Source organism: Homo sapiens, chromosome 19 (genome assembly GCF_000001405.40).
Source record: "Homo sapiens chromosome 19, GRCh38.p14 Primary Assembly".
Lineage (NCBI taxonomy): Eukaryota > Metazoa > Chordata > Mammalia > Primates > Hominidae > Homo > Homo sapiens.
Genome location: NC_000019.10, coordinates 53908884 through 53932872, shown reverse-complemented (window position 1 = coordinate 53932872; position 23989 = coordinate 53908884). Strand labels below are relative to the sequence as shown.

The 23989-nt window shown below is 52.1% G+C and overlaps 1 protein-coding gene across 2 annotated transcripts in view, besides 1 other annotated feature; it reads right to left on the bottom strand.

Annotated features, from left to right (window-relative positions):
* The window catches only part of CACNG7 (calcium voltage-gated channel auxiliary subunit gamma 7), a 34673-nt gene extending 11078 nt beyond the window's left edge, over positions 1-23595 (bottom strand). For both annotated transcript variants that reach the window (NM_031896.5, NM_001384801.1), the window contains exons 1-4: positions 23356-23595; positions 19846-20070; positions 18287-18373; positions 17368-17508 (exon numbers count right to left, since the gene is read on the bottom strand). In NM_031896.5, the coding sequence (NP_114102.2) occupies positions 17368-17508; positions 18287-18373; positions 19846-20041 (424 nt within the window). In that variant the 5' untranslated portion in view covers positions 20042-20070; positions 23356-23595. The remainder of the gene's footprint in view (positions 1-17367; positions 17509-18286; positions 18374-19845; positions 20071-23355) is intronic.
* Positions 4851-5051: a silencer, noted in NCBI's record as "peak3551 fragment used in MPRA reporter construct". NCBI's record gives its function as "represses an SCP1 promoter by STARR-seq MPRAs in K562 erythroleukemia cells {active_cell/tissue: K562}" and the evidence as "EXISTENCE:reporter gene assay evidence [ECO:0000049][PMID:32103011]".

Below are 23989 nucleotides of genomic sequence, written 5' to 3'. Positions count from 1 at the left end.
ACAAGAGCGGAACTCAGTCTCAAAAAAAAAAAAAAAAAGGAGAGAGAAAAGAAAACACTGAAATAGATGAACATATTAAACGACAACAGAAGATTCCATTGGAAAACTGCAATGTGGGAATTCCACATAACAAAAATGCAAATTTCTCAAAAAAATAAATGGCCAGAAAAAAATAGGAGAGGGACCGTTTTAGGTTGAAAGAGGCTTCAGAGATCTATCAACTCAATGTACATGTGGAACTTGGATCTGGATTTGCAACAAATGAACTAGAAAGAGGCATTTATGAGGCCAATGGGGAAGAGTGAGCATTAACTAGATATGAGATAATATTAAGTAATTATTCTTAGTTGCTTGGGCTTGATCATGGGATTGTGGTTATAGTAAATAAAAGACTACTTATAACTCAGAGATATACTGAAATATCTGTGAATCAAATGATGTCTGAGACTGGCTTTAAAATAATGTAGTGAAATGCAGAAGAGGACATGGCAATATGACTAAAAACAGATTTGCCATATGTTGGTAATTGTTGAAACTGAGTGCAGGATCCATGAATTTCATTATACTATTCTTTCTATATTTTATTTTATTTTTTAATTCTTTTTTTTTTTTTTTTTTTTAGACAGGGCCTTACTCTGTTGCCCAGGCTGGAGTGCAGTGGTACCATCATAGCTCACTGCAGCCTCCATCTCCTGGGTTCAAAGCGATTCTTCCACCTCAGCCTCCAGAGTAGCTAATACTACAGGCTCGAGTCACTGTGCTTGGCTTCTTTTTATATTTTAATAATGAGATATATTTAAAAAGTCAGTGCTGGCCGGGCACAGTGGCTCACGCCTGTAATCCCAGCACTTTGGAAGGCTGAGGCAGGCGGATCACGAGGTCAGGAGATCGAGACCATCCTGGCTAACATGGTGAAACTCCATCTCTACTAAAAATAGAAAAAATTAGCCGGGCGTGGTGGTGGCCGCCTGTAGTCCCAGCTACTCGGGAGGCTGAGGCAGGAAAATGGCGCAAACCTGGGAGGCGGAGCTTGCAGTGAGCCGAGATCGTGCCACTGCACTCCAACCTGGGCGACAGAGCCAGACTCCATCTCAAAAAAAAAAAAAAAAAAAAGTCAGCGTTGTTAAAAACAAATAGTAGTGGAATTAGGCTTTTTTTCCTTTCTTTTTTTTTTTTTTTTTTTTTTTAGACAGAGTCTTACTCTGTCACCTAGGCTGGATGCAGTGGTGTGATCTCAGCTCACTGCAACCTCCACCTCCTGAGTTCAAGCGATTCTCCTGCCTCAGCTTCCTGAGTAGCTGGGACTACAGGCATGCACCACCACACCTGGCTAACTTTTTTGTATTTTAATAGAGATGGGGTTTCACCATGTTGGTCAGGCTGGTCTCAAACACCTGACCTCAAATGGTCTGCCCAGCTCGGCCTCCCAAAGTGCTGGGATTATAGGCATGAGCCACTGCGCCCAGCCAAAAAAGAGACTTATTAACTAAATGTCATGCATGGACCTAGAATGAATCCTGGTTCTAGGGAAAGAGTTATAAAAGACATTCTTGAAATAGCCAGGACAGTTTAAAAATGTATTAAATTGTATTATGGAATTATAAAACGTCCATGTCTGATAATGTTGTTGTAGTTACGTAGACGAATGTATTATTCTTCTATTTATTTATTTATTTAGAGACAAGATCTGGCTCTGTTGCCCAGGCTGAAGTGTAGTGGCACGATCTCAGCTTATGGCGACCTCTGCCTCCTGGGCTCAAGCCATCCTCCCAGCTCACCCTCCTGAGTAGCTGGGACTGCAGGTGCATGCCCCATGCCTGGCTGACTTTTGGTAATTTTTGGAGAGACGGGATTTTACCATGTTGCCCAGGCTGGTTTTGAACTCCTGAGCTCAAGTAATGTGCCCACCTCGGCCTCCCAAAGTGAGGCCACAGCACCCGACCCTTAGCCTTAAAGGATGCATACTAACACTTAATTTTAGAGATGAACTATCAACATGTATGCAATTTACTTTCAAATGCTAAAGCCAAAAAAAATCTGTGTGTGGTGTGTTTAAAAAGTGAGGTGGGGCCGGGCACAGTGGCTCACACCTATAATCCCAACACTTTGGGAGGCTGAGGGCAGATCACCTGAGGTCAGGAGTTCAAGACCAGCCTGGCCAACATGGTGAAACACCATCTCTACTAAAAATACAAAAATTGGCCCAGTGCGGTGGCTCAGGCCTGTAATCCCAGCACTTTGGGAGGCCTAGGTGGGCAGATCATGAGGTCAGGAGTTCAAGACCATCCTGGCTAACACAGTGAAACCCCGTCTCTACTAAAAATACAGAAAAATTAGCAGAGCGTGGTGGCAGGCACCTGCAATCCCAGCTACTCGGGAGGCTGAGGCAGGAGAATCTTGTGTACCTGGGAGGTGGAGGTTGCAATGAGTTGAGATTGAGCCACTGCACTCCAGCCTGGGCAAAAGAGTGAGACTCCGTCTCAAATTTAAAAAAAAATTAGCCTGGCGTAGTGGTGCCCGCCTGTAGTCCTAGCTATTCGGGAGGCTGAGGCAGAAGAATTGCTTGAACCCAGGGGGCAGAGGTTGCAGTGAGCAGAGATGGCACCATTGCACTCCAGCCTGGGTGACAGAGTGAGACTCTGTCTCAAGAAAAAAAAAAAAATGGTGAGGTAGGAGGGAAAGATAGAGAGATAGAGAGAAAAACATTTAAAAACCTTGGATTATTCAGGTGGGTGGGATAATATAATAACCCCTCCCCATCACTCTCCTCCTAACCTGCTTTTTTTTTTTTTTTTTTTGTAGCATGTAGCACCATCTAACATTATATTATCTATTTGTTACTTTTTTATTAGACATCTCCTCCATCCCCAGTTAGATGCTAGGAACTCCATGATGCTAGAAACAAGTCCACCTTGTTTTTTATTATTCTCCATCAAGTAGTCAATTCTCTTTGAATGGATGAAGAACATACTTGCTATGCAGCTGGAACATCTAGAAAAGCCCATTCACTCTAAATCCCACCATTCCTCTATCCCTTCCAAGAATTAACTTTTCCCTTGCTCTGAACTTCCATAACACTTTCAACTTCTAGTATTCCATAATGTTGAGACGCAGTAAGGGAGTGATTATAGGCTGGGCGTGGTGGTTCAGGCCTGGAATCCCAGCACTTTGGGAGGCCAAGGAGGGCAGATCACTTGAGACCAGCCTGGCCAACATGGTGAAACCCTCTGTCTACTAAAAATACAAAAATTAGCCAGGCATGGTGGCGGGCGCCTGTAATCCCAGCTACTCGGGAGGCTGAGACAGGAGAATCGCTTGAACCTGGGAGGTGGAGGTTGCGGTGAGCTGAGATTATGCTGCTGCACTCCAGCCTGGGCGACAGAGCGAGACTCCATCTCAAAAAATTAAAAAATACAAAAATAAAGAGAATGATCATGAAGCATTACATGGTGAAAATGCACCTGAGATTGGTCTTGAAATATGAGCAGGTTTATAGCAAAGGAAGATTGAAGGAAGCCCAAAAATCACATTCACTGCAGTGCCTAACTCAGATGCAGGGGAATCAGCTTCACTCCTCTTTTCCTCTCTCTCTCTCCCTCTCTCTCTCTCATCCATCAGGGATGGTCACTGAAGGACAATCAAATTATGTCTGCTTTACTTCCTGAATTCCTCATAAATCTAACCCCCTTTTTGCTTCCCCAAGTCCCTTGCCCCAGCTCAGGCCTTATTCTCTCTTTTTTTTTTTTTTTTGTTTTTTTTTTGAGGTGGAGTCTCACTGTGTCACCCAGGTTGGAGTGGTGTAATGGCGCCATCTCAGCTCACTGCAACCTCTGCCTCCCGGGTTCAAGTGATTCTCCTGCCTCAGCCTCCTGAGTAGCTGAGATTACAGACGTGCGCCACCATGCCCGGCTAATTTTTGTATTTTTAGTAGAGATGGGGTTTCACCATGTTGGCCAGGCTGGTCTCGAACCCCTGACTTCGTGATCCGCCAACCTCAGCCTCCCAAAGTGCTGGGATTACAGGCGTGAGCTACCGTGCCCGGCCTTCAGGCCTTATTCTGTATGTTTGTACCATTGTTCCAAAATCCTCATCTCCGTTTCTGAAACCCAAAGCAGACTCTATCCCTCCAGGCTCAGAACTCTTCCTTGGCTCCTCATTGTCCACAGGAGAAACAAGTCAGCCTGTCGTTCCAGGCTGTCTGTGATCTGGTTCCTGCTGACAACACCTGCCTCATAGTTCACTCCAACCCCAGACTTAAGGTCCAAGTTTCACATTACAGCTCTAAATAACAAACATTCTGCCAGGTGCGGTGGCTCATGCCTGTAATCTCAGCACTTTGGGAGGCTGAGGTGGGCAGATCACTTGAGGTCAGGAGTTCGAGACCAGCCTGGCCAACATGGTGAAACCCCGTCTCTACAAAAATACAAAAAAAAATTAGCCAGGCATGGTGGTGCACGTTTGTAATCCCAGCTACTCAGGAGGCTGAGGCATGAGAATTGCTTGAACCGAAGAGGTAAAGGTAGCAGTGAGCCGACATTGCACCATTGCACTCCAGCCTGGGCAACAGAGCAAGACACTGCCTCAATAAGTAAATAAATAAATAAATAAATACCAATCTCCATAAGCAGAATCAGGACCAGGGTCTGATGAGAAAGAAAGAAATATTTCCACCGAGGAAGAGATTTTGTTTTCTTTTTTCTTTGTAGTAAGTCATTCTTATCGTTGCTTTTTCTTTCTGGCCATTTTGCATTAGCCCTGGTTCTCCAAAAATAACCTTATTTTCCCTTTCTCTTTTTCTCCCCTCCCTTCCTCCTTTCTATCTCTGCAATCCAACTCTCTTACTCTCCTCCCACCCCCTCAACTACATCTGCTTTGTAATTCTTAAAGCACAGTAGGCAAGAGTCACCTACATTCCAAGCTGAATAGAACCATCCTGACTTGAGAGCAACTGGGTTTCAGGACCATGGACAGGTGCACTGGCGTCGACCTCTGTCTTAGCTGCCTTCTTTTTTTCTTTCCTTTTTTTTTTTTTTTGAGATGGAGTTTCGCTCTTGTTGCCCAAGCTGGAGTGCAATGGTGCGATCTCGGCTCACTGCAACCTCCGCCTCCCGGGTTCAAGCGATTCTCCTGCCTCAGCCTCCTGAGTAGCTGGGATTACAGGCGCCTGCCACCAGGCCTGGCTAATTTTTGTGTTTTTAATAGAGACGGGGTTTCACCATGTTGGCTAGTCTGGTCTCGAACTCCTAACCTCAGGTGACCTGCCTGCCTCGGCCTCCCAATGTGCTGGGATTACAGGCGTGAGCCACCATGGCTGGCCTGTCCTAGCTCCTTTCTAGGACCTTATCGCATGCTGTGAATCCCATCTCCAAACCAGGCTCTTTTCTTTCTGGACTTGAAAATTTCCCCCTGACCCTTTCGGCATCAACTTAGCTGTCACCTTTTCCTGGGAGCCCTCCCTGGTCTCTCTCACCCTCTCCAGAGCACCCTACTATGTCAGGTTAATGCATCTTCCCTTTTCTTAGAATATGCAAGACTGTCACTCATCCCTTCTGCCCTCACTCATTCTGGAAATATTTCAGTTTGCACTTCATACAAACAACACCTCTAGGCTCTAAGATACAAACAAGAACATGTTTGAAAAGGTCTCAGCCCAGCTGCGCCGCAGTGGCTCACGCCTGTAATCCCGGAACTTTGGGAGGCCAAGGTGGGTGGATCACTTGAGGTCAGGGGTTTGAGACCAGCCTGGCCAACATGGTGGAATCCCGTCTCTACTAAAAATACAAAAATTAGCCAGGCGTGGTGGCAGGTGCCTGTAATCCCAGCTACATGGGAGGCTAAGGCAGGAGATCACGCCACTGTACTCCAGCCTGGGTGACAAAGCAAGACTCTGTCTCAAAAAAAAAGAAAAAAAGAAAAAGGAAAGAAAAGGTCTCAGCATCCCCCTCACTCTTCTTTTTTCTGAGACAGAGTCTTGTTCTGTCGACCAAGCTAGAGTGCAGTGGCATGATCTTGGCTTAGTGCAGCCTTCACCTTCCAGGTTCAAGTGATTCTCCTGCCTCAGCCTCCCAAGTAGCTGGGACTATAGGGGCCCACCACCATGCCCAGTCAATTTTTCTATTTTTAGTGGAGATAGGGTTTCACCATGTTGGCCAGGCTGGTCTCGAACTCCTGACCTCAAGTGATCCACCCACCTTGGCCTCTCAAAGTGCTGGGCTTACAGGCATGAGCCACCGCACCTGGCCTGTCCCAGCCCTTTTGAAGATTACATTCTGATACAAGAAGACAAAAAACAAATGGCACAACAGTAGCAATAAATGCTATGAAAAAATATGAAATAAAGCATGTGATAGTATCGCCAGGGTAAGGGAATACTAGGTACTGTTGTCAGAGAAAGCAACTCTGAAGAGAAAAAGTTTGAGGCTTCTGAGAATTAGGGTCGGGTGGAGTTGGAGGTGGGGAAAGGACTTCCAAGCAGGGAGGAATAATGAGTGTACGAAGTCCTGAGGTGAGGCTGTGATTAGCATTTTCAAGGAGAAGAATGAGGCCAGTGTGGCTGAAGTTACAAGCAATGCGGAGAGTGCTAGTGGGTGAGGAGATGAGGTCAGAGATCTGAGCAGTAGCCAAATCATAGAAGACGTTGGAGGACAGACTGAGGCATTTGGGTGTATTCTAAGTGTAATGGGGATCTATTGAAGGGATTTAAGAAAAAGTGTGAAAAGCTTTGACTGACAGGTAGTCGGGAGCTGTTCTGTGAGTGAGTGCACATGGGCTACACATGAGATTTAATTGTGTTTTCTGTGCCAAGGACAGGGCCTGGTATACAGGACATCTGAAGATTGAATGAATAAGCATATCCACAGATCATGTTTAATGATCAGGGGCTAATGTGGGACAGGCATGCACATGCCTCTTATGACCTGGAAAAAAACCAATGCCCGTCTAGCTTCCTCCCACTTCTACCAACCACATCCAGTCAGTCATCTGATTCTATTGATTCTTCCATCAATATCCCTCTCTCACATGGCCATCCAATTGCCTTTTCCTCACATCTCCAGCCCCAGCACAGACCTTATCTGCTACGGCCTGGGCCACTACACAAGCATCCTCAGTTTGTACATTTCCAGTCTCTTTCCCTCTAGTCCATCCCCAGCAGAGGTCCCTGTGAGACATTTAATGCGCAGCTGTGACCGTAATCCTCCTGCCTGAGCCCTTCCACTGGTTTCTCCACAATTGAATGCCAACTCCACCAATACCAGACCTGGGGCAACTCCCCCAATGACCAGCCTGGGGCAAGTCCACCAATGACCAGACCTGGGGCAAGTCCACCAATGACCAGCCTGGGACAACTCCACCAATGACCAGCCTGGGGCAAGTCCACCAATGACCAGCCTGGGGCAACTCCACCAATGGCCATACCTGTGGCAAGTCCACCAATGACCAGCCTGGGACAACTCCACCAATGACCAGACCTGGGGCAACTCCACCAATACCAGACCTGGGGCAACTCCACCAATACCAGACCTGGGGCAACTCCACCAATGACCAGGCCTGGGGACAACTCCACCAATGACCAGACCTGGGACAACTCCACCAATGACCAGACCTGGGGCAACTCCACCAATGACCAGACCTGGGGCAAGTCCGCCAATGACCAGCCTGGGGCAAGTCCACCAATGACCAGACCTGGGGCAACTTCACCAATGACCAGACCTGGGGCAAGTCCACCAATGACCAGCCCTAGGCAAGTCCACCAATGACCAGCCCTAGGCAAGTCCACCAATGACCAGACCTGGGGCAACTCCACCAATGACCAGACCTGGGGCAAGTCCACCAATGACCAGCCCTAGGCAAGTCCACCAATACCAGACCTGGGGCAACTCCACCAATACCAGACCTCGGACAACACCACCAATCACCAGCCTGGGACAACTCCACCAATGACCAGACCTGGGGCAACTCCACCAATGACCAGACCTGGGGCAAGTACACCAATGACCAGCCTGGGGCAAGTCCACCAATGACCAGACCTGGGGCAACTCCACCAATGACCAGACCTGGGGCAAGTCCACCAATGACCAGCACTAGGCAAGTCCACCAATGACCAGCCCTAGGCAAGTCCACCAATGACCAGACCTGGGGCAACTCCACCAATACCAGAACTGGGGCAACTCCACCAATACCAGACCTGGGGCAACTCCACCAATACCAGACCTCGGACAACTCCACCAATGACCAGCCTGGGGCAAGTCCACCAATGACCAGCCTGGGCAACTCCACCAATGACCAGCCTGGGGCAACTCCACCAATACCAGACCTCGGACAACTCCACCAATACCAGACCTGGGGCAACTCCACCAATAACCAGGCCTGGGGACAACTCCACCAATACCAGACCTCGGACAACTCCACCAATGACCAGACCTGGGACAACTCCACCAATGACCAGACCTGGGGCAACTCCACCAATGACCAGGCCTGGGGACAACTCCACCAATGACCAGACCTGGGGACAACTCCACCAATGACCAGACCTGCGGCAAGTCCACCAATGACCAGGCCTGGGGCAACTCCACCAATGACCAGACCTGGGGAAAGTCCACCAATGACCAGACCTGGGGCAACTCCACCAATGACCAGACCTGGGGCAACTGCACCAATGACCAGACCTGGGACAACTCCACCAATGACCAGACCTGGGACCAACTCCACCAATGACCAGACCTGGGGCAAGTCCACCAATAACCAGACCTGGGGCAAGTCCACCAATACCCAGACCTGGGGACAACTCCACCAATGACCAGACCTGGGGACAACTCCACCAATGACCAGGCCTGGGGCAACTCCACCAATGACCAGGCCTGGGGACAACTCCACCAATGACCAGGCCTGGGGACAACTCCACCAATACCAGACCTGGGGACAACTCCACCAATACCAGACCTGGGGACAACTCCACCAATGACCAGACCTGGGGCAACTCCACCAATGACCAGGCCTGGGGCAACTCCACCAATGACCAGGCCTGGGGCAACTCCACCAATGACCAGACCTGGGGCAACTCCACCAATGACCAGACCTGGGGCAACTGCACCAATGACCAGACCTGGGGCAACTCCACCAATGACCAGACCTGGGGCAACTCCACCAATGACCAGACCTGGGACAACTCCACCAATGACCAGGCCTGGGACAACTCCACCAATGACCAGACCTGGGGCAACTGCACCAATGACCAGACCTGGGACAACTCCACCAATGACCAGACCTGGGGCAACTCCACCAATGACCAGCCTGGGACAACTCCACCAATGACCAGACCTGGGACAACTCCACCAATGACCAGACCTGGGGCAACTCCACCAATGACCAGCCTGGGACAACTCCACCAATGACCAGACCTGGGACAACTCCACCAATGACCAGGCCTGGGGACAACTCCACCAATACCAGACCTGGGGACAACTCCACCAATACCAGACCTGGGGACAACTCCACCAATGACCAGACCTGGGGCAACTCCACCAATGACCAGGCCTGGGGCAACTCCACCAATGACCAGCCTGAGTCAACTCCACCAATGACCAGACCTGGGGCAACTGCACCAATGACCAGACCTGGGACAACTCCACCAATGACCAGACCTGGGGCAACTCCACCAATGACGAGCCTGGGACAACCCCACCAATGACCAGACCTGGGACAACTCCACCAATGACCAGACCTGGGGCAACTCCACCAATGACCAGACCTGGGGCAACTCCACCAATGACCAGCCTGGGACAACTCCACCAATGACCAGGCCTGGGGACAACTGCACCAATGACCAGGCCTGGGACAACTGCACCAATGACCAGGCCTGGGGCAACTGCACCAATGACCAGTCCTGGGACAACTCCACCAATGACCAGACCTGGGGCAACTCCACCAATGACCAGACCTGGGACAACTCCACCAATGACCAGGCCTGGGGCAACTCCACCAATGACCAGCCTGAGTCAACTCCACCAATGACCAGACCTGGGGCAACTGCACCAATGACCAGACCTGGGACAACTCCACCAATGACCAGACCTGGGGCAACTCCACCAATGACGAGCCTGGGACAACCCCACCAATGACCAGACCTGGGACAACTCCACCAATGACCAGACCTGGGGCAACTCCACCAATGACCAGACCTGGGGCAACTCCACCAATGACCAGCCTGGGACAACTGCACCAATGACCAGGCCTGGGGACAACTGCACCAATGACCAGGCCTGGGACAACTGCACCAATGACCAGTCCTGGGACAACTCCACCAATGACCAGACCTGGGGCAACTCCACCAATGACCAGCCTGGGACAACTCCACCAATGACCAGACCTGGGACAACTCCACCAATGACCAGACCTGGGGCAACTCCACCAATGACCAGCCTGGGACAACTCCACCAATGACCAGACCTGGGACAACTCCACCAATGACCAGGCCTGGGGACAACTCCACCAATGACCAGGCCTGGGGACAACTCCACCAATGACCAGGCCTGGGGACAACTCCACCAATGACCAGACCTGGGGACAACTCCACCAATACCAGACCTGGGGCAACTGCACCAATGACCAGACCTGGGGACAACTCCACCAATGACCAGACCTGGGGACAACTCCACCAATACCAGACCTGGGGCAACTCCACCAATGACCAGCCTGGGACAACTCCACCAATGACCAGACCTGGGGACAACTCCACCAATGACCAGGCCTGGGGCAACTCCACCAATGACCAGGCCTGGGGACAACTCCACCAATACCAGACCTGGGGCAACTCCACCAATACCAGGCCTGGGGACAACTCCACCAATGACCAGACCTGGGGACAACTCCACCAATGACCAGGCCTGGGGCAACTCCACCAATGACCAGGCCTGGGGCAACTCCACCAATGACCAGACCTGGGGACAACTCCACCAATACCAGACCTGGGGACAACTCCACCAATGACCAGCCTGGGACAACTCCACCAATGACCAGCCTGGGACAACTCCACCAATGACCAGACCTGGGGCAACTCCACCAATGACCAGACCTGGGGACAACTCCACCAATGACCAGACCTGGGACAACTCCACCAATACCAGACCTGGGGCAACTCCACCAATGACCAGCCTGGGACAGCTCCACCAATGACCAGACCTGGGGCAAGTCCACCAATGACCAGACCTGGGGCAAGTCCACCAATGACCAGACCTGGGGACGACTCCACCAATGACCAGACCTGGGGACGACTCCACCAATGACCAGACCTGGGGCAACTCCACCAATGACCAGCCTGGGGCAACTCCACCAATGACCAGACCTGGGGCAACTCCACCAATACCAGACCTGGGGCAACTCCACCAATGACCAGGCCTGGGGACAACTCCAGCAATACCAGACCTGGGGCAACTCCACCAATGACCAGCCTGGGGCAACTCCACCAATGACCAGACCTGGGGCAACTCCACCAATGACCAGACCTGGGGACGACTCCACCAATGACCAGCCTGGGGCAAGTCCACCAATGACCAGACCTGGGGCAAGTCCACCAATGACCAGACCTGAGGCAACTCCACCAATGACCAGACCTGGGGCAACTCCACCAATGACCAGACCTGGGGCAACTCCACCAATACCAGGCCTGGGGACAACTCCACCAATGACCAGCCTGGGGCAAGTCCACCAATGACCAGCCTGGGGCAACTCCACCAATGACCAGACCTGGGGCAACTCCACCAATACCAGGCCTGGGGACAACTCCACCAATGACCAGACCTGGGGCAAGTCCACCAATGACCAGGCCTGGGGCAACTCCACCAATGACCAGCCTGGGGCAACTCCACCAATGACCAGCCTGGGGCAACTCCACCAATGACCAGCCTGGGGCAAGTCCACCAATGACCAGCCTGGGGCAAGTCCACCAATGACCAGACCTGGGGACAACTCCACCAATGACCAGACCTGGGACAACTCCACCAATGACCAGACCTGGGGCAACTCCACCAATACCAGGCCTGGGGACAACTCCACCAATGACCAGCCTGGGGCAAGTCCACCAATGACCAGCCTGGGGCAACTCCACCAATGACCAGACCTGGGGCAACTCCACCAATGACCAGCCTGGGACAGCTCCACCAATGACCAGACCTGGAGCAAGTCCACCAATGACCAGACCTGGGGCAACTCCACCAATGACCAGCCTGGGGCAACTCCACCAATGACCAGACCTGGGGCAACTCCACCAATACCAGACCTGGGGCAACTCCACCAATGACCAGGCCTGGGGACAACTCCACCAATGACCAGCCTGGGGCAACTCCACCAATGACCAGCCTGGGGCAACTCCACCAATGACCAGACCTGGGGCAACTCCACCAATGACCAGACCTGGGGACGACTCCACCAATGACCGGCCTGGGGCAAGTCCACCAATGACCAGACCTGGGGCAAGTCCACCAATGACCAGACCTGAGGCAACTCCACCAATGACCAGACCTGGGGAAACTCCACCAATGACCAGACCTGGGGCAACTCCACCAATGACCAGACCTGGGGCAACTCCACCAATACCAGGCCTGGGGACAACTCCACCAATGACCAGCCTGGGGCAAGTCCACCAATGACCAGCCTGGGGCAACTCCACCAATGACCAGACCTGGGGCAACTCCACCAATACCAGGCCTGGGGACAACTCCACCAATGACCAGACCTGGGGCAAGTCCACCAATGACCAGGCCTGGGGCAACTCCACCAATGACCAGCCTGGGGCAACTCCACCAATGACCAGCCTGGGGCAAGTCCACCAATGACCAGCCTGGGGCAAGTCCACCAATGACCAGACCTGGGGCAACTCCACCAATACCAGGCCTGGGGACAACTCCACCAATGACCAGACCTGGGGCAACTCCACCAATACCAGGCCTGGGGACAACTCCACCAATGACCAGCCTGGGGCAAGTCCACCAATGACCAGCCTGGGGCAAGTCCACCAATGACCAGCCTGGGGCAACTCCACCAATGACCAGACCTGGGGCAACTCCACCAATACCGGGCCTGGGGCAAGTCCACCAATGACCAGCCTGGGGCAACTCCACCAATACCAGACCTGGGCAACTCCACCAATGACCAGCCTGGGGCAACTCCACCAATGACCAGACCTGGGGCAACTCCACCAATACCAGGCCTGGGGACAACTCCACCAATGACCAGCCTGGGGCAAGTCCACCAATGACCAGCCTGGGGCAACTCCACCAATGACCAGCCTGGGGCAAGTCCACCAATGACCAGCCTGGGGCAACTCCACCAATGACCAGACCTGAGGCAACTCCACCAATACCAGGCCTGGGGACAACTCCACCAATGACCAGACCTGGGGCAAGTCCACCAATGACCAGCCTGGGGCAACTCCACCAATGACCAGCCTGGGGCAAGTCCACCAATGACCAGGCCTGGGGACAACTCCACCAATGACCAGACCTGGGACAACTCCACCAATGACCAGACCTGGGCAACTCCACCAATGACCAGGTCTGGGGCAATCCCTGTCTTTCTCTCTCTGAGGCCTGGTTTCCTCATTGCGAACAGGAGGCAGTCACCCCAGGCTATTCCATTCCAAGTCCCAAGGCATTGGTACTATTTCTGTCCTTAACTTCTCCTTTTAAATCTCCTTCTTTTTTGTGATCTTAATCTTGGTGGGGCAGCATAATGCCATGGTGAGGAGGCTGGGTTGGGAAAATTTGAAATTTGGCCAGAAGGGGAGAAAAATTAAAAAATCAAAATAAGGGCAACGTGCGGTGGCTCACGCCTGCAATTCCAGCACTTCGGGAGGCCGAGGCGGGCGGATCACCTGAGGTCGAGAGTTCAAGACCATCCTGGCTAACACAGTGAAACCCCGTCTCTACTAAAAATACAAAAAATTAGCCGGGTGCACTGGCACATGCCTGTAATCCCAGCTACTCGGGAGGCTGAGGCAGGAGAATCGCTTGAACCTGGGACGCGGAGGTTGCAGTGAGCCGAGATCGCGCCATTGCACTCCAGCCTGGGCGACGAGAGCGAAACTCCATCTCAAAAAAATAAAAAATAAAAAAGTAAAATAAAAATTCAAAAATTGTTTGTTACTACTCGTACTGCTACTACTGCTACTATCACCAGCACCAGCACCACCACCGCTAGTACTACTATCATTACTACATTTATTTATTTACTTAAAACAACAAGTGTTCAGTGCTTACTGTTACAGTCCAGGCAGTGGGTCGGATGCTTTACATTCATGATCTAAATGAGGGGTTGGCAAATGATGACCTGGCCCATTGCCTGCTTTTGTATGGTTTGTGAGCTAAGCAGGATTTTTACCTATTATTCTTCTTTTGATTTAAAAAAAAATCAAAAGAAGAAGAATATTTCATGCACATGAAAATTACATTGAACTCAAATTTGAGAGTCCACAAATAGTCACTGGAACATAGCCACTCCCATTTGCTTACACCTGGCAGCTTTTGTACTACAGTGGCCAAGTTGCATCCCAGTAGAGTTGAATAGTTGCATCGGAGAACCTATGGCTCACGTAGCCTAAAATATTTGCTATCTGGCCCTAAGCAGAAAAAGCTTGCCAACCACTGATCAAGATTTGTCCCCTCAATAACTCCACAAAAGAAGGCTTTGGTTCAAACCGTAAGTGGTAGAGGCAAGATTTGAACCCAATTCTTCCTAGGTTTACAACATGTGGCCTTCAGCCACTATACACCCCAAGCTTGGCAGCACATGCCTGGATACCTTGGGGTGGAGTGCATAGGTCATAGCCTGTGAAATGAATGCTAGGAAGGAATTCAGGCAGTTGGATTCAATCTCTTCCGAATTACTCTATTGTTACCCTAGAGACGTGACTTCCAGCCTGCCTGCACCACTGATCCTCAGCATGACCTTGGGCAGTCAGTTCCTGGTGCAGTGGGTGGTATAAGCATGGATTTAGGAATCAGAATACCCTAGATTCCAATCCAGTTCTGCCATTGACAAGCTATGTCGCCTCTTCGAGCCTCTGTTTCCATTCCTGTGAACCGCAAACAATGGGACTTTCCTTATCATGATTTTGACAGGTTGAATAAAAATCCCCATGCTATCTACTCTTGCCCCACTTTTTGTCTCTAGGCTACTATTTTTCCATTTGAAAAATGATGAGACCTTTCCGCTCTCACACTCTAGGATCGTGATATTCTCCGTGTCTTATTTTAGCTCAGTGTCTGGGCTCCACCCGCTGTGATTCAAGTTTGCACGGAGGTTGCACCCTGCTTTCCCTGGAAAAGGTCTCTTCAGGTTAGGTTGAAGGCATGGGGGAGGTTGCACCAAGAGGAGCCTGGGTGAGGAGCAGAGACTGGAGGAGAGGATATTGGATCAGGTGCTTTGGATCTTAGTTGCTTAGTTGGAGGATCCCTTTTCAACGATTTGCACAGCCACTGAAAAGAGGGAGCTGAGTGCCGGCCCCAGGGGACAGAATGGAGCTGAGACATGCAGTGGGGTTTGTTCATAAACTATCAACTGAATTACAAGAACCTGATTTGAGTTTAATTAAATTATGTTGAATTCATTTGAAATGAACTGAAGAATTGAGTCAGAATGAATTGGGGTTAGCTGGGTTGGATGGATGGAGTTAAATGTACTCGAGCTGAGTTGATTTGGGCTGATTTTAGCTGAATTGGACTGAATTGGATTGGACTGAGTTGAAATTTGGAGGAGAGTAACACTCAAGAAAAAAGCTTTAGGCCAGGCACAGTGGCTCATGCCTGTAATCCCAGCACTTCGGGAGGCTAAGGCAGGAGGATCACTTGAGGCCAGGAGTTCAAGACCAGCCTGGCCAACATGGCAAAACCCCATCTCTACTAAAAATACAAAAATTAGCTGGGCATGGTGGCACACACCTGTAATCCCAGCTATTCGGGAAGGTGAGACAGGAGAATCGCTTGAACCCGGGAGGCAGAGGTTGCAATGGGCCGAGATCACGCCAGTGGGCTCCAGCCTGGGCAACAGAGGGAGACTCCGTCTCAAAAAAAAAAAAAAAAAGCCAGGCGCAGGGGCTCACACCTGTAATCCCAGCACTTTGGGAGGCCGAGGTGGGCAGATCACCTGCGGTCGGGAGTTTGAAACCAGCCTGACGAACATGAAGAAACCCCGTCTCTATTAAAAAAAAAAAAAAAAATAGAAAATTAGCCGGGCGTAGTGGCACATGCCTGTAATCCCAGCTACTTGGGAGGCTGAGGCAGGAGAATTGTCTGAACCCGGGAGGCAGAGGTTGTGGTGAGCTGAGATCGTGCCATTGTACTCCAGCCTGGGCAACAAGAGCAAAACTCAGTCAAAAAAAAAAAAAAAAAAAAGAAAGAAAGAAAAAAGGCATTGCTGGAACTCTGGACACTGAAGTCCTCTGGAAATAGTTTACACTAGTATCTTGGGCAACTCTCTATGCAATTCTGGGCCTTGGTACTTATGGGCAACTCTCTATGCAATTCTGGGCCTTGGTACCCCCATGTTATCAAGTGAGTGCTAATAATAACTCCTGGGTAGCGATGTTAGGAGACGGGTGTGAGATCACATATGCAAAAGAGGCTTGTGCCTCAAAAGAAGGAAAAAAAAACTGTAAACAAATATTGAACTCTAGCTAATCACGTGTACGATGACGTAAGTAGGGTGAAGTGTAGTGATGCCTGAAACTTACTCTGAAATGCATCTAGACAATAAGGTGGATTGATGGATGGTTGGACATATAGACAGATGGACAGACGCAAGACCATGCAAGTCTAGTGACCTGTCAATGGTTGACTCTAAGTGGTGGCTACATGGGTGTTCCCTATACAGTTCTTTGGACTTTTCCATTTATTTGAAAAAATTTAAAACAAAATATTGCACAGAAAATAAGCAGCCTTGTAAACTGTTAATTGCAGTTTATCAGCAGTGGTTAAAAATACAGCCTCCGGAGGCGAATTGCGTGAGTTTCATTCCCAGCTCTACCTCTCACTAGTTGTATGGCCCTAAGCAAATGACTTCATCCCTCTGAGTGTCTGTTTCCATATCTGTAAAATGGGCTATTAATAGGATTTACCTCACAAGGTTGTTGCGAGTGTGAGAATAGAGCCTGGTACCTAATTAGCACCCAGTAAGCCCTCGCTATAATGTGGTCCTCTGAAGGACGCTTTGCAATGGGCACTGCTATTTCCATTGCACATAGAAGGAAAGTGGGGCTCAGAGAGGGTCTGCACCTCCTCCCAGGCCACACAGCAAGGAAGTGGCTAAGTGGAAAAGGAACCACAGGTCCCTGGAACTGGAAATGGTCCCCCCCAACCCCCAAGTCCTTAGGCTCACCCGATAGTATGAAGAAGATGCCAGAGACAAAAGCCAGAATGGTCCTCTGCGGGCGGATGTGGCCGATGTTGCTGATGACGAAGGCCGTGAACACGAGGAAGAGGCTGACCATGGGGAAGGGGGTGGCCGTGCGCACTGTCTCTGGGGAGGGGATGGGGAGAGACAGGGGTGAGGGGGGAATCTCCAGTGGGACACTTCCCCATTCCTTGACCTCTGCTCTCACCACCTCTGCGTTTTTGTTTGGCTCCTCCCTTTCCTTACTGACTCCTCCCCTTCCCCACTGACTCTTCTCCTTCCCCTGATATTTCCTCGGCAGACACAAGCCTGCCACGCCCCCTCACACAGGCCACACCTCCTTGGGCTTAACTCCGCCCCCTTTCTGATTGACCGCTCCTCACCAACCGGACCTCACCCCTTCAACCTTGCTCTTTCTCCTTACCTAACCACCACTCTGCCTTGCCTTCTTTCTTTCTTCCTTCCTTTTATTTATTTTTTTTTTTGAGACAGAGTCTCACTCTGTGAGTTGCCCAGGCTGGAGTGCAGTGGTGAAATCTTGGCTCACTGCAAGCTCCACCTCCCAGGTTCAAGCGATTCTCCTGCCTCAGCCTCCTGAGTAGCTGGGACTACAGGCACGCGCCACCACGCCCAGCTAATTTTTGAATTTTTAGTAGAGACAAGGTTTCACCATGTTGGCCAGGCTGGTTTCGAACTCCTGACCTCAGGTGATCCACCCACCTCAGCCTCCTAAAGTGCTGGGATTACAGGTGTGAGCCACCATGCCTGGCCCATTCTGCCTTCTTTCAAGCCTCCCCTCCTTCCCTTGGACCCCACCCTTTCCCTAGTCCTGCCCCCTCCCAGGACTCCACGACTCGGCTGTGATCTTGCTGTCTTGTGCCTAGGTGCCCCCACATCCCCTCACTCAGAATATTCTCCGTGTTTTCCGTCACCAAATTGATCTCCGGTTCAAGAAAATATTCTGAGGCCACACAGCGACCTTTCTCCCGACCTGGGGGGAAGAGAAACAGACAGGGCTGGATGAGAGGCTCCTAAGCTCTAGAGAGGCTGGGGGTGGGGGCAGGACAGATAGAGGGGAGACCCCAGGATGGGGGAGCAAGGCCTAACCCAAGGGTTACGAGCTGTACTACTCCAGGGGTGTTGGGAAAGCGGGTGGGTGGATGTCTGTCTGGGATTCCTCTTTCTTTTCTTTTTCTTTTTTTCTTTTTTTTTTTTTTGAGATGGAGTCTCACTCTGTTGCCCAGGCTGGAGTGCAGTGGCACGATCTCGGCTCACCACAACCTCTACCTCCCAGGTTCAAGTGATTCTCCTGCCTCAGCCTCCTGAGTAGCTGGGACTACAGGCATGCGCCACTATGCCTGGCTAATTTCTGTATTTTTAGTAGAGACGGGGTTTCACCATGTTGGCCAGACTGGTCTCAAACTCCTGACCTTGTGATCCACCTGCCTTGGCCCCCCAAAGTGCTGGGATTACAGGCATAAGCCATTGCACCTGGCCTGGAACTCCTCTTTCTAACTGCCCTAGAGACTCCTGCTTGAAGGAGGACAAGGCTGGAACTCTAGGTCTTAAGCAACAAAGGGGCTGTAGATCAGAACTTGTGGTCCCTAAAGAGGACGAGGTCTGGGGAGCCAGGATTCTTACAATGAATTGGTCTTTGTGGTCCCTGGGAGGTATAGATTTTCTTTTTTTTTTTTTTTTTTTTTTTAAGAGACTGGGTTTTGCTCTGTCACCCAGGTTGGAGTACAGCAGCACCGTCATAGCTCACTGCAGCCTCGAACTCCTGGACACAAGCAATCTTCCCACCTCAGCCTCCTGAATAACTGGAACTACAGGTGCATGCCAGCAGTCAGAGCTAGGGAGAGTGAGATGGAGTCTCACTCTGTCTCCTAGGCTGGAGCGCAGTGGCAGTGGTGTGATTTCAGCTCACTGCAACCTCCACCTCCCGTGTTCAAGTGATTCTCCTGCCTCAGCCTCCCAAGTAGCTGGGATTACAGGGGTGCACCACCACATACAGCTAATTTTTGTATTTTTAGTAGAGACGGGGTTTCACCATGTCGGCCAGGCTGGTCTCAAACTCCTGAGCTCAAGGGATACTCCTGCCTTGGCCTCCCAAAGTGCTGGGATTACAGGCATGAGCCACCGCGCCCGTCCCATGCATTTTTTTTTTTTTAATCTTGCCCATTCAGCACTGAAATTGTGCAGGGGACAAGTTCTAAACCTAGACTACAAACTTTAAAGGAAGGCTCCAGAATTCCTTAGGGGTTAGGGGCCTGGAGCATTGGGGCTCCTAGATCCAGGAATAAAGGGCTAGTCACTGGGGCTCCACGTAGAAATTTGAACTTCCAGGAGAGAATCAGGATCCGTTTCTGGATTTCTGGAACTCAAGGGATGGGACTATGGCTAAGACTCTCAGACCCCAGGCAAGGCAGAAACTGTTGAGTGGAAGACGGGTGAGGGCTGTACCTGCAAAGAAGCAGACTCGCCAGAGGCCGGCGTGCAGGGCCATCTTGACCTCGGTGGTCTGGTTCTGCGGTAGCACTGTGCCTTCTTCCATGTACAGCCAGTAGTCAGTGCTGACCGCGATGCCTACCAGGAGCAGGCCACACGCACCAAACACGCTGCTCAGCAGGGTCAGGGCGCGGCTGCTGCAGTGACTCATCCTCAGAGGCAGGGGGCGCCCTGCGGGGCCTGTGGAAGGGAAGCTACAGTGCAGAGCTCCATGGGACCGACCAGAGTGCTTGACCCCATGCAGCAACCCGGGATGCTGGGCCCTAGCCAGAGACACTGACTCCCAAATCGAAATCTCAGATCTGACCTCCGTGGCCTGACCCATGACCCCAACCCTAGAGTCTGACCAGAGACACCAACTGTTGAGCCTCAGCCTCAGGGCTGGGCTCCCCAAACCTGCTGCCTGTGGTCTAGCTCCAGATCCAGATCCCCAACCCCAGAATTAGATTTCTAATCACAACTTTCAGCCCAGGCCCAGAGATTGAATCTTGGCTCCAACCGTGTTTGGACCTGGGTCCCAAATACTGTGACTCCGAGCAGAAATTCTAATTTGAGCTTCTTAACCCCAGAACCAGGTCCCCCTGCCAAAACCTAACCTCACCTGCTGACCTGAGACCCTAATTTAGAAATCAGATGCCACCAGAGTCCCTAACCTTGAGTGTGGATCAGTGACTCAGAAACTATTAGGCAGATCAATGATTTCAGCTCTAGGACCTGGCATCCTGCAGCCCTGTCTCTGTGTGACGATCGAAGCCCCCGGTTGTGAACACCAGACTCCAACAAGGATCAATAACCTCAACTCTGAGCCAGGACCTAGATCCCAGAGCACAGGGCATTGGGCTTGAACCCTGGATGCTCTACAACTTGAGCTGGCCAGAAACTCTAACCCAGGCTACCCAGTCTTAACTCCATGCCCTAATCTGATGCCCTGATACATTTTCTTGCACCCTGTCTCTGAACTACATCCAGAAATTCCCAAAGTGGGTCACTAACCAAGGATCTCTAACCCCATACCAGGGCTTCACACCCTTGACCTCAGCCCTATCTAAGACTTTGAGCAGAGGCCCCCACTGAAGTTTACACTCAAGATTTGTATCTTGAGCCTAACACCCAATTCTAACACCAAGAACTTGACCCATGACCTTCTAACTCTGATCCTGTGCCTTGACCTCATTTGATACCCCAATTTAAGATGACATCACACATGACATCCTCCCATCCTCCGCCTGGCGGCTCAGGGGTTTGACCGCGAGCTGCCTGGTCCTCTCGCAGCCCTGTGGGTTCGGAAACGGGCACCATCACCCTGGCCACCCTGGCTGCCTCCATCCCAGGTAGCCGATCTCAGCTTCCCCCTTTCGCCCCTCTGACTCTCAGCTGGGACCTCGTCCCTTCTCCACATTCTTGCACCCCGTCTTAAAACCCAATCTTGCTCCAATTCCTCCTCACTCCAGAACCTAGCTCCAGAACCCTAATTCCACCCTCCCAGATCTAGGCAGGCTCCTGGACCTGGAATCCTGGAACATCTTCACAGTCTGCTGAGTCCCAGAACATTGGAACCCAGAGACATAGAACCAGAATCTCGATTACAGATTCCAGAACATCAAAATCAGGAGCTGAGACTGGGTGAGGTGGCTCACACCTGGAATCCCAGCACTTTGGGAGGCTGAGGTGGGTGGATCACTTGAGGTCAGGAGTTTGAGACCAGCCTGGCCAACATGGTGAAACCTTGTCTCTGCTAAAAATACAAAAATTAGCCGGGCACGGTGGCTCACACCTATAATCCCAGATACTCAGGAGGCTGAGGCAGGAGAATAGCTTGAACCTGAGAGGCAAGGTTGCAGTGAGCCGAGATAGCACCATTGCACTTCAGCCTGGGTGACAGAGTGAGACTCCATCTCAAAAAAAAAAATCATGAATGAGCTGGACCCCACCACCACCACCAATCCAGCATCCTCATCAGAGCACCCCAGTCAAACAACGGTCTCTCATCCTTCCAACTAGGATTCAGTGCCCTGAACTCTAAAATCTCAAGCAGGAGTCCCAAAACCCCCTCCCCTAACACACGATCTGAAACTTCCTACCAGAGGTTCTGGACCCCGGTTTCCCATGCTGGGACTTCCAATCACAGATCTTCTTCAACATCCAGCATGGAGTCCCGATTTCATAACATTAGACTCCAAACAGGAGATCCCAGTTCATCTCTGTGGCCTCCCCAATTCCACTTAGGAACCTAGAAATTCCAGCGAGGGAGCTCCTCAACCCAGATCTCAAGGACTTGAAATTCCTTACCCACGATTCTCCCCCGACCCCTGCAAGATTTTTCCCCAAGCCACGCAATCCCGTGATTTGGGGGTCTCAACTTGGGACCCTTAGCCTTTATCAACCAGAGACCTCTACATCCCTGAATACCCGGGATCTTTTTAACTATGAAGGTTGAGACCCCTCAACATTCTCCCCTACAAACTAATCAAGACATAAAACTCCACTTTCCTTCACCAGAATTCTTCTAACCTTGCAACTCTGCTCCACCTGAATAAAGACTCTGGAGTCTGAGACAACCCTCACTCCTCCCCGCTCCACCCCGCACTCCCAGCCTCCAGATCCCCCCTCCTTCCCCCCCAACCTCTTGGAGGCCTCCGAGATCCGGAGTCAGGGAACGCTCTGGCCAGCTTTTCCTCCCATCCCCCGCCTGGCGGCTCAGGGGTTTGACCGCGAGCTGCCTGGTCCCCTCGCAGCCCTGTGGGCTCGGAAACGGGCACCATCACCCTGGCCACCCTGGCTGCCTCCATCCCAGGTAGCCGATCTCAGCTTCCCCCTTTCGCCCCTCTGACTCTCAGCTGGGACCTCGTCCCTTCTCCACATTCTCGCACCCCGTTTTAAAACCCAACCTTGCTCCAATTCCTCCTCCCTCTCACTGGCCCGCCCAGATCTCCTTATTCCTCCAGCCTTTCCTCCTTTGGGACCCTCCCCCCAGGCCTGAAGCCTCCTCTTCTCCCTCTTTCTCCCACCCTTTCCCGGATTCAGGCATTTGAATCTCCGGGGTCCCCTTCTGCAAGTCTTAAGCCCAAACTCCATCTCTCCTCCATCTCTCGGGAGACCGTAACTCCCCCTTTCTGGGACCCCTTTCCAGACCCACATCCTGCTCTGGCCGGGCCTGGGTCCTCCGCCCTCGCCCCGTACCTCGCCTTCCTCAGGGACCCGGCCTCTGCCCTCCCCAGCCCACGCTCGCTGCGACTCGGACGCGAGGAGTGCAGTTTCCCACTCCGGGACCCTCGGACCCCGTCCTCCGGGATCGCCAGGCCCAGGTGTCCCTGCATCCCCCATAGCCGCTCGAATTCGGGCGTCCCGACCGCCAGGATCTCACCACCCCTGGAGCCACTCGGGTCCCTTGTTGCCCCAAACCCGGCTCGCAGCCACCTCGAGGGGCGCCCCTTCTTCCTCCCAGGACCCTCCGCTAGCGCTCACCTCGCTCAGGGCTGGGCGGACGCTCCGGGCCGCGGGCCCCGCAGCCGCATGACCGGCCCCGAGGCTTCCCCCGGCCGCCGCCGCCGCCACCGGGGTCGCCGGTGCCCGCGCCCCCCGCCCCCGCCCCGGAGCCCGGCGTCCCGGCCCCCTCCCGGCCTCCCACCCCCCACCCCCCGCGGCCGCGGCCTCACTCGGCGGACGGAGCCGGGAGCAGGAACCGGCGGCCGCTCATTGGCTACTGCGGAGGAGGGGAGGGGCGGGGAGGGAAGGGGGGAAGGATGCAGCGAGGGAGGGAGATGGGCCTTGAGGATGGGGGAGGCAGAGAGGGAGAGAGAATAGAAACAGAGGCAGAGAGCCCGAGAGGGGCAGAGGCACAAAGAGAGACAGGGCAGAGAGAGAAAGTCACGCCGAGACCTTGAGGCCGAGAAATCCAGGGACTCAGGTCTGGAGACTGAAGGAGACACAGAGACAGAGAGAGACAAAGAGGGAGAGAGACAGAGTTTAAGACCACCCCTCACCACCTAGGCGCAGAGATTCTGAGGCCTGGGAAGTGGAGAGGTCAGAGACCAGGAAGAGACAGAAAGAGACAGGGGGACGCCCAGAGGCCTGGGGCTGAGAGATGCTGAGACCCAGA